The sequence below is a fragment of the Homo sapiens genome, chromosome 9 (genome assembly GCF_000001405.40).
Source record: "Homo sapiens chromosome 9, GRCh38.p14 Primary Assembly".
Classification (NCBI taxonomy): domain Eukaryota; kingdom Metazoa; phylum Chordata; class Mammalia; order Primates; family Hominidae; genus Homo; species Homo sapiens.
The window spans coordinates 71,589,086-71,600,759 of record NC_000009.12 but is presented as its reverse complement, the minus strand read 5'-3'; the positions used below and the strand labels follow the sequence as shown (position 1 = coordinate 71,600,759).

General features: G+C 42.8%; 1 pseudogene; it reads right to left on the bottom strand.

Moving 5' to 3' along the window:
- Positions 10,783-11,220, bottom strand: RPL35AP21 (ribosomal protein L35a pseudogene 21; annotated as a pseudogene).

The window sequence follows — 11,674 nt, the reverse complement described above, 5'->3', positions numbered from 1 at the left end:
CCCAGCACCATTTATTAAATAGGGCATCCTTTCACCATATCCTGTTTTTGTCAGGTTTGTCAAAGATCAGATGGTTGTAGATGTGTGGTATTATTTCTGAGGGCTCTGTTCTGTTCCATTGGTCTATATCTCTGTTTTGGTACCAGTACCATGCTGTTTTGGTTACTGTAGCCTTGTAGTATAATTTGAAGTCAGGTAGCGTGATGCCTCCAGCTTTGTTCTTTTTGCTTAGTATTGTCTTGGTAATGTGGGCTCTTCTTTGGTTCCATATGAACTTTAAAGTAGTTTTTTGCAATTCTGTGAAGAAAGTCATTGGCAGCTTGATGGGGATGGCATTGAATCTATAAATTACCTTGGGCAGTGTGGCCATTTTCATGATATTGATTCTTCCTACCCATGAGCATGGAATGTTCTTCCAATTGTTTGTGTCCTCTTTTATTTTATTGAGCAGTGGTTTGTAGTTCTCCTTGAAGAGGTCCTTCACATCCCTTGTAAGTTGGATTCCTAGGTATTTTATTCTCTTTGAAGCAATCGTGAATGGGAGTTCACTCATGATTTGGGTCTCTGTTTGTCTGCTATTGGTGTATAGGAATGCTTGTGATTTTTGCACGTTGATTTTGTATCCTGAGACTTAGCTGAAGTTGCTTATCAGCCTAAGGAGATTTTTGGGCTGAGACAATGGGGTTTTCTAAATATACAATCATGTCATCTGCAAACAGGGACAATTTGACTCCCTCTTTTCCTAATTGAATACCCTTTATTTCCATCTCCTGCCTGATTGCCCTGGCCAGAACTTCCAACACTATGTTGAATAGGAGTGGTGAGAGAGGGCATCCCTCTCTTGTGCCAGTTTTCAAAGGGAATGCTTCCAGTTTTTGCCCATTCGGTATGATACTGGCTGTGGGTTTGTCATAAATAGCTCTTATTATTTTGAGATACGTCACATCAATACCTAGTTTATTGAGAGTTTTTAGCATGAAGGGCTGTTGAATTTTGTTGAAGGCCTTTTCTGCGTCTACTGAGATAATCATGTGGTTTTTGTCTTTGGTTCTGTTTATGTGATGGATTACGTTTATTGATTTGCATATGTTGAACCTGCCTTGCATCCAAGGGATGAAGCCAACTTGATCGTGGTGGATAAGCTTTTTGATACGCTGCTGGATTCGGTTTGCCAGTATTTTATTGAGGATTTTTATATTGATGTTCATCAGGTATATTGGTCTAAAATTCTCTTTTTTTGCTGTGTCTCTGCCAGGCTTGGGTATCAGGATGATACTGGCGTCATAAAATGAGTTAGGGAGGATTCCCTCTTTTCCTATTGATTGGAATAGTTTCAGAAGGAATGGTACCAGCTCCTCTTTGTACCTCTGGTAGAATTTGGCTGTGAATCTGTCTGGTCCTGGACTTTTTTTGGTTGGTAGGCTATTAATTATTGCCTCAATTTCAGAGCCTGTTATTGGTCTATTCAGGGATTAAATTTCTTCCTGGTTTAGTCTTGGGAGGGTCTATGTGTCCAGGAATTTATCCATTTCTTCTAGATTTTCTAGTTTATTTGCATAGAGGTGTTTATAGTATTCTCTGATGGTAGTTTGTATTTCAGTGGGATCGGTAGAGATATCCCCTTTATCATTTTTTATTGTGTCTATTTGATTTTTCTCTCTTTTCTTCTTTATTAGTCTTGCTAGTGGCCTAGTGAAAAGATCAATTTTGTTGATCTTTTCAAAAAACCAGCTCCTGGATTCATTGATTTTTTGAAGGGTTTTTTATGTCTCTATCTCCTTCAGTTCTGCTCTGATCTTAGTTATTTTTTGCCTTCTGCTAGCTTTTGAATGTGTTTGCTCTTGCTTCTCTAGTTCTTTTAATTGTGATGTTAGGGTGTCAATTTTAGATCTTTCCTTCTTTCTCTTGTTGGCATTTAGTGCTATAACTTTCCCTCTACACACTGCTTTAAATGTGTCCCAGAGATTCTGGTATGTTGTGTCTTTGTTCTCATTGGTTTCAAAGAACATCTTTATTTCTGCCTTCATTTCATTATGTACCCAGTAGTCATTCAGGAGCAGGTTGTTCAGTTTCCATGTAGTTGAGCGGTTTTGAGTGAGTTTCTTGATCCTGAGTTCTAATTTGATTGCACCGTGGTCTGAGAGACAGTTTGTTATAATTTCTGTTCTTTTACATTTGCTGAGGAGTGTTTTACTTCCAACTGTGTGGTCAATTTTCGAACAAGTGTGATGTAGTGCTGAGAAGAATGTATATTCTGTTGATTTGGGGTGGAGAGTTCTGCCGATGTCTATTAGGTCTGCTTGGTGCAGAGCTGAGTTCAATTCCTGGATATCCTTTTTAACTTTATATCTCGTTGCTCTGTCTAATGTTGACAGTGGGGTGTTAAAGTCTCCCATTATTATTGTGTGGGAGTCTAAGTCTCTTCGTAGGTCTCTAAGGATTTGCTTTATGAATCTGGGTGCTCCTGTATTGGGTGCATATATATTTAGGATAGTTAGCTCTTCTTGTTGAATTAATCCCTTTACCGTTATGTAATGGCCTTCTTTGACTCTTTTGATCTTTGTTGGTTTAAAGTCTGTTTTATCAGAGACTATGATTGCAACCCCTGCTTTTTTTTTGTTTTCCATTTTCTTAGTAGATCTTCTTCCATCCCTTTATTTTGAGCCTATGTGTGTCTCTGCACGTGAGATGGGTCTCCTGAATACAGCACACTGATGGGTCCGGTCTCTTTATCCAATTTGCCAGTCTGTGTCTTTTAATTGGAGCATTTAGCCCATTTACATTTAAGGTTAATATTGTTATGTGTGAATTTGATCCTGTCATGATGATGTATCTGGTTATTTTGCTTGTTAGTTGATGCAGTTTCTTCTTCCTAGCCTTGATGGTCTTTACAATTTGGCATGTTTTTGCAGTGGCTGGTACTGGTTGTTCCTTTCCACGTTTGGTGCTTCCTTCAGGAGCTCTTGTAGGACAGGCCTGGTGGTCACAAAATCTCTTGGCATTTGCTTGTCTGTAAAGGATTTTATTTCTCCTTCACTTATGAAGCTTAGTTTGGCTGGATATGAAATTCTGGGTTGAAAATTCTTTGCTTTAAGAACGTTGAATATTGGCCCCCACTCTCTTCTGGCTTGTAGAGTTTCTGCCGAGAGATCCGCTGTTAGTCTAATGGGCTTCTCTTTGTGGGTAACCCAAGCTTTCTCTCTGGCTGCCCTTAACATTTTTTCCTTCATTTCCACTTTGGTGAATCTGACAATTATGTGTCTTGGAGTTGCTCTTCTTGAGGGGTATCTTTGTGGCATTCTCTGTATTTCCTGAATGTGAATGTTGGCCTGCCTTTCTAGGCTGGGGAAGTTCTCCTGGATAATATCCTGCAGAGAGTTTTCCAACTTGGTTCCATTCTCCCCGTCACTTTCAGGTACAACAGTGAAACGTAGATTTGGTCTTTTCACATAGTCCCATATTTCTTGGAGGCTTTGTTCGTTTCTTTTATTTTTTTATTTTTTTGAGACAGAGTCTCACTCTGTCACCCAGGCTGGAGTGCAGTGGCGCAATCTCAGCTCACTGCAAGCTCCACCTCCTGGGTTCACACCATTCTCCTGCCTCAGCCTCCAGAGTAGCTGGGACTGCAGGCGCCTGCCACCATGCCTGGCTAATTTTTTGTATTTTTAGTAGAGACAGGGTTTCACCATGGTCTCGATCTCCTGACCTCATGATCCACCCGCCTCGGCCTCCCAAAGTGCTGGGATTACAGGCGTGAGCCACTGCACCCGGCCTGTTCATTTATTTTTACTCTTTTTTCCCTAAAGTTCTCTTCTCACTTCATTTCATTAATTTGATCTTCAATCACTGATACCCCTTCTTCCACTTGATCAAATCGACTACTGAAGTTTGTGCATGTGTCGTGTAGTTCTCGTGCCATGGTTTTCAGCTCCATCAGGTCATTTAAGGTCTTCTTTACACTGTTTATTCTAGTTAGCCATTTGTCTAATCTTTTTTCAAGGGTTTTAGCTTCTTTGCCATAGGTTCGAACATCCTCCTTTAGCTCGGAGAAGTTTGTTATTACCGATCGTCTGAAGCCTACTTCTGTCAACTTGTCAAAGTCATTCTCTGTCCAGCTTTGTTCCATTTCTGGTGAGGAGCTGCAATCCTTTGGAGGAGAAGAGGTGCTCTGATTTTTAGAATTTTCACCTTTTCTGCTCTGGTTTCTCCCCATCTTTGTGGTTTTTAATCTACCTTTGGTCTTTGATGATGGTGACGTACCAATGGGGTTTTGGTGTGGATGTCCTTTCTGTTTGTTAGTTTTCCTTCTAAAGTCAGGACCCTCAGTTGCAGGTTGGTTGGAGTTTGCTGGAGGTCCACTCCAGACCCTGTTTGCCTGGGTATCACCAGTGGAGGCTGCAGAATGGCAAATATTGCAGAACGGCAAATATTGCTGTCTGATGCTTCCTCTGGAAGCTTCGTCTCAGAGGGGCACCTGGCTGTATGAGGTGTCAGTTGGCCCCTACTGGGAGGTGTCTCCGAGTTAGGCTACTCGGGGGTCAGGGACCCACTTGAGGAGGCAGTCTGTCCATTCTCCGATCTCAAACTCCGTGCTGGGAGAGCCAATACTCTCTTCAAAGCTGTCAGACAGGGACGTTTAAGTCTGCAGAAGTTTCTGGTGCCTTTTGTTCAGCTATGCCCCGCCCACAGAGGTGGAGTCTACGGAGGCATGCAGGCCTCCTTGAGCTGCGGTGGGCTCCACTCAGTTCAAGCTTCCGGGCTTCTTTGTTTACCTACTCAGCAATGGTGGACGCCCCTTCCCCAGCCTCGCTGCTGCCTTGCAGTTCGATCTCAGACTGCTGTGCTAGCAGTGATCGAGGTTCCGTGGGCGTGGGACCCTTCGAGCCAGGAGTGGGATATAATCTCCTGGTGTGCCATTTGCTAAGTCCATTGGAAAAGTGCAGTATTAGGGTGGGAGTGTCCCAATTTTCCAGGTACCATCTGTCACTGCTTCCCTTGGCTAGGAAAGGGAATTCCCAGACCTCTTGAGCTTTCCGGGTGAGGCGACGCCCCGCCCTGCTTCGGCTCACACTCCGAGTTGACTGTCCAACAAGCCCCAGTGAGATGAACCAGGTACCTCAGTTGGAAATGCAGAAATCACCTGCCTTCTGCGTCGCTCACGCTGGGATCTGTTTTTATTTGGCCATCTTGGAACCGCCCTTACATATTTTCTAAAAGAGATAATTTCTAAGATATAAAAAAGAAAGTTTGCAGGCTAATTATCCATCAAGTAAGGGAATACAGTGAGATAATATGTAAGAAATGAGTGCACACTTTGTTGTCTTCGAGGAATGTTTCTTAGATATCAAGAGGCTAGATAAATTCCTTTGAATAAGGCAATTTTTTTCCTCCTGGATTTCTTTAGAAATGAGAGAGTGAGAGAGAAGGAGGGTGCAGAGAGAAAGAGAGAGAGAAAGAGTCTGACTACTGGGTTAAGCCAGTTCTTTTTGGAGTGGTCTGCACTTAATAGAGAGTTATGCGGAGCTGGATGAATATTATGATATGAATAACTGCATGGATAATGGTTCCATTTACTAAGATGGGAAATAGAAATGTTGATGGAAATAGTGGAACTCTGTAAAATATTTTAAGATATTTATTCTGAACCAAATATGAGTGACCAGTAGCCTGTGACACAGCCTCAGACGATCCTGAGAACATGTGCTCAAGTGGTTGGACTACAGCTTGGTTTTATACATTTTAGGGAGACTTATTGATTGATGAGATATCAATCAATACATGTAAGATGTATATTGGTTCAGTTTGGAAAGGCAAGACAACCTAGTAGGAGGGCTTCCACATCACAGGCAGATTCAAAGATTTTCTGATTGGCAATTGGTTGAAAGAGTTACTATCTAAAGACCTGGAATCAATAGAATGGAATGTCTGGGTTAAGATAAGGGGTGGTGGAGACCAAGGTTTCATCATGCAGATGAAACCCCCAAGTAGCAGGCTTCAGAGCTCTTATCAGACCTAAAAAGTTGCCACACTCTTGGTTAATTCTCTCATGGATTTGAGGAAAGACCTGGGAAGGAAAGGGGATTCTCTGCGGAATCAAGATTATCCCTGTAAGAGGCAGCTTTATAGCGTCATTTTAAAGTATGTCAAAGAAATATATTTTGAGGTAAAATACTTCAATTTCTTTCTTCCGGGGCCTGCTGTTTGTCATTTGATGCTATAATACAGCTGGAATTTGGTGTCTTATTGCTACAAAAAGTCTGTTTTGTCACTTCTAAGATCTCTGTTTTAATGTTAATGCTAGTCAGTCGTGCCTACATTCCCAAGAGGAGAGGGTAGAATCATGAGGCATGTCTGAGCCCACCTTCCTATCATGACCTGAACTAGATTTTCAGGTTTATTTTGGAATGCCCTTGGCTGAGAAGGGGGGTCTATTGGTCAATTAGGGGGCTTAGAATTTTATTTTTGGTTTACAGAAAGAAAGCATGGGAGAAGTGGAAATATACACATCTGAAGTTTGTGACAGGTGGCTGAGCTGGAGAAACAGATTCAAACGTCAGAATTTATGTATGTATGTATGTATTTACTCAACAAATGCCTATGGAGTTCTTTCTATGTACTCAGCACATTTTAGGGGAGGATTCTCCTTTCACTGCAGCTTTAGCCCATAGATAATTGGACTTATTGGGGGAGTGCTAGGGAGGGTGCTTTTTCTCTTCTCACCCACCCCTCATTCACTCCTTACTGAAAGAGAAAAGGTTAATCAATAACTCTAAACTGGAAATTAAAGGGCAGCATTTTACTGTGGGTAGGGCCACTGTATTCATGGCATGCCCTCTTCTTCCTCCCACTTTCTGGACCTACGCTGCTGGCAGGTTAGTGTCAAGGAATCTGCCCTGTGGAAAGGGTGGTCCTTCCCTTTCTCTGCTCTGTCTTCCCCCATCGATCAGATTGGCTAGACCAGCTGTAAACTGCAAAGCAAGATCAGCTCAGATCAAAGCTTTGGAGGGAAGCGTGTTCTTTCTGGGGTGGTCTCTCCGTTCCTGTGTCTGGGCTGGCAAGGCAGACCTCTGATTCTCATCCACATGGGTAGTTGTGTAAGTGGACCCAGGGTTGCCATGCAGTGCTGGCCTTGGTTGCTCAAATACTCCAGGCATAGCTGAGTCTCAGGGCTGACAAGCAGGAGGTGTCACCGTGATCCTAAGCCTAAGCTGTTTTTTTCAATCCAGGTTCTACCAAGCTCTGCTTTGTTAATGCCATTAATAAACACTGTGTTTTTATTTGGCTAATGATCCTTGTAGGCATACTCCATTGGCCATGGCCTTGAAATTGGAGAGGGGAGAGTGGCAGTTCAAGCCTCTACTGCCACTAAAATAACACATAGGTTACCTAAAGCCTTGGAAGTCAATATGATATCCCAGGGAGAGCATGGAAAATGAGAAAAGATGAAGAAAAGATGACAGAATCCTCAGAAAAACCCACATTCAAGGAGCAGGCATTGGATCATAGGACTCTGCTGTGAAAGAAGAGTTAGGGTAGAAAGTCTGATGGAAACATGCTCATAGTGACTGTAGACATGGATACCACGGGAGATTTATTACTCCTCCTGTTTTCACCTTTTGTACTTAAAAAATCATTTTAACAAGGAACAATATACTTTTATAATAATAAAAAGGGACTTAGGAAAAAGTCAGATGCAGAAAGAGCTTAGCAGCATGAATCAGGCAGAGAAAAAACCCTTTAGAATAATTGTTTAAGATGTTAGGTGATCCTAAAATATTGCTGTCTCCCTATGACCTCAAGGAAAGATAAATCCTCTGTCCATCCCAGGTTGTGATGAATAAACCCACTCCTCAATTGCATGTACATTAATTGCACTTCTTTGACAATCAACACATGTATGAAGCAAATATGAATTTTGAAAAAATTCACGAAGTGAGGAACCACAGATCAACCTATCGGTACATGTGAGAAGCCATCTGGCAGAAAGTAAAGTCTGAGGTCAGGAAGCACACCTCAAGGCCAAGGAGACAGGGGCAAAGGGGAGAAGAAACCTGGAGGGACTAAGAGCAGAAGAAATGTATTTGTTCATTCAGCAAATACTCAGTAGATGCCTGTTATGTGTCAGGTTCTGAGTAAGGTATTGGGAATGCAATGTTCGACAATATTAATGTGGTTTCTGTCCTCAACCTTCTGTATTAGGGAGGATACAGGCAAGTGAGAAAAGAGTCACAACTGAATGATAAATGCTCTCATGGATCATTGCCATGGGAGTACTTAAAACCCCCAAGGTAAAAACCCATTTGTTCCTAGTGTTCCATTATTGGAACGCTAAGTATGTGGGAGTTTTTTTATTTATTTATTTTTTTGAGATGGAGTCTCGCTCTATTGCCCAGGCTGGAATGCAATGGCATGATCTCAGCTCACTGTAACCTCCCTCTGCCTCCCAGGTTTCAGCAATTCTCCTGCCTGAGCCTCCTGAGTAGCTGGGATTACAGGCGTGCACCACCGCACCTGGCTAATTTTTGTATTTTTAGTAGAGATGGAGTTTTACTATGTTGGCCAGGCTGGTCTCCAACTCCTGACCTCATGATCCACCCACCCCGACCTCCCATATGTGGGAGTTATTTATATCCTACTGCTCAAGATCATTGCCAAGGTCTGATTGCAAAAATTCCAAAAAGTGCAACCTCAGGCATAAATGGGTTAAAGGGTCTCAGACAGGCCAGGTATGGTGGCTCACTCCTGTAATCCCAGCACTTTGGGAGGCAGAGACAAGTGGATCTCTTGAGTCCAGTAGTTCAAGACCAGCCTGGACAACACAGCAAAACCCCGTTTGTACAAAAAGAAATATGAAAAGTAGCTGGGTGTGGTGGTGCATGCCTGTAGTCCCAGCTATTGGGAGGCTGAGGTGATGGGAGGATCACTTGAGCTGAGGAGGTGAAGGTTGCAGTGAGTCAAGATTGCGCCACCACACTCCAGCCTGGGTGACAGAGTGAGACCCTGTCTTGGGGAAAAAAAAAAGAAAAGAAAAGAAAAGAAAAAAAAGGGCCTAAGGCAGAGCTGGATGAGAGATGAAGGAGGAGGTGGTGGTGGTGATGTTGGTGGTGGAGGTGTGCATATAACTCTGCCACTGACCTTAGCTTTCCCTAGCTACATGCGTGGAGAGTCTTTTTAGGACAAAAAGGTAACATTTTCCCCCAATAACTGTGCTTATAAAATTATGGTGCTTCAGCATAGATACATTGATGTTTCTGTGACTGAATAAAGAAATTACTGTTATATTAATTAACAAAATAGCTAAATATTATGAATCCTCACCCAGCATCTGAATATGCCGTTCGGTTTTGCTGGAGAAGCCTCCTTCACTTTAGAGGTTGTGTGGTTCCCATACCTAAACCGGCTGAGAAGCTGCGTTATGGACAGAAGCTGGTGGATGCCAAGACAGACAGGCCATTGCATGGCAGCTGTAGCTGATTATAGCCTGTTAAATTTGTAAAGACACGTGTCATTGTGCCACTCTGCTTCAGTGAAGCCATACATTCTATTCGTGGATGTTTGGGGCCTGAGTTCCCCCAAGGTTTCAGCTCTGAGGTGGCACATCTCCTTGTTGTGTAGGGAGCCAGGGACATTGGAGTGATATCTCCTTGGCTTAATAATAGGGAAAATTGCATGAGCAAGGGATTGAAACAAAAGACTGAGATTAAAATATGTAGCCCTAAAGTTTTATTTTTATTGTCATATGGCCCTGAGCCTATAATCGGCTAAAAATCCCAATTCAGGGCTGGGCACAGTGGCTCATGCCTGTAATCCCAGCACTTTGGGAGGCCTAGGCGGGTGGGATCACCTGAGATCAGGAGTTTGAGACCAGCCTGACCAACATGGTGAAACCATGTCTCTACTAAATACAAAAAAATTAGCTGGGCATGGTGGCACATGCCTGTAATCCCAGCTACATGGGAGGCTGAGGCAGGAGAATTGCTTCAACAGGGGAGGCACAGAGGTTGCAGTGAGTCAAGATTGTGCCATTGCACTCCAGCCTGGGTAACAGAGTGAAACTCTGTGTTAAAAAAAAAAAAATCCCAATCCAATTTCTGGCAAGTTTTTTATTAGTTAAATGTGGAAATTAGTACATGTAAAATGACACCAGGCTACCTACATGACGGGCTAACCTCTGCCCTGTGGGTTTAGAGATGCAGAGAGGTTTAAGGGAGAACATGACATAAGACCTTGACCTCTCTGGACCACGTGGTATGGGCTGGGGGAATCTCTGAGAAGGCTAGAACTGTAGAGTTGTGAGCATTTAACAAGAGAATGCTATGAGAGCACTTAGAATATATAATAAGCACTCAATAACTGTTCTTCTTTTTCTGTTTCCTAAAATCTTTTCCCTCATCACCGTGGCCCTCAGATCTTTACAACTCTTCTGCCAACCTGTTTGGGGACATAGAACAGGCTTTGTGGAAACAGGACTATGATAACAGGGCCACAGTTTCTACTCTTGCTTTCAGGGCAAGGACATAGTTTTGTCAAATTAAATGATGGTTCTGGAGTATTTTAAACCTTGAATCGAAGTATCTCTCAGATTTTTTTTTTTAATTTTAAAAATATAATACTTTATTGAGGGGTTAAGATGTCATTATGAGACAGGATAGAAATTTAACCTTGAAGACCTTTCAGTGGCTCATCCAAGGCCACAGAGCAAATAAAAACCATACCCATCATATAGAATATCCGAATGGGGTGCCAGAAAAGTCACAACTCAGAGGGTCAATGATTTTTTTTTTCAAGAGCATAAATCCAAGTTTATTTATTGACTTTTCGTTAGTTTAGATCCTTGAGGGGTACAGCATCACTCGGATTCTGTGTCCAATAGCCTTAGCAGGAAGATTACTTCGGAATTTGGCACGAACCAGGCCACTGTTTCCATGAGCATGAGTTACCTTTCCCCCGATTACTCTGGTTTTGTTTGGTTTGCTGCCAGGAGTCACTGGGTTGTTCTTTGCTTTGTATACATAAGCACATCTCTTGCCCAAATAGAATTCTGTTTCATCTCAGGCATAAACAACTTCAATTTTTAGAAGAGGTGTGTGCTCCCTTTGGTTCCAGAGATCCTGCTTATAGCCGGCAAAAATGGCATTGGACCACAGCCTTCCAGATATAGTTCCTTTTAGAAGTCCTGTTCCCAGCAGGCCTCCACAGGAGCCAAGATGGCGGGAAGAGCAATGATTTGTAACTCCTGGGTAAACAGTAATATAAGGGTCCCAATCCCTGTCCTTCGCGGGTGTTCGAGTCAGAGTCCAGGTTCCTCGCAGTCAGATTTCTGCCCCTGTGGTTGTGTCTGCTTTAGCCGTCATCTGTGAGTGTCAAGTTGGGATTTCCTGTCTTCCTCAGCCACCAGAAGTGCCTGGGTTTCCTCAAACACGTCGCATCTGGTCACCCCGTCAAGGCCCAAAGACAGATCATCGGGATGTTGTGTGCAAAAGAGCAAGGCCCTCATTTATTAGTGTTTGTTCCCCGCCTTCCTTCCTTCCCTCCCTTCCTTTCTCACCTGAAAAACAAAATAAAGGAAGGAACATCAGAGCGGTATCTCTTAGGCTTAAAAATGGGAACACTGCATGAGAAGGGGATTGAAATGAAAGACTGAGATTAAAATATGTATTTTTCTCACCTGAAA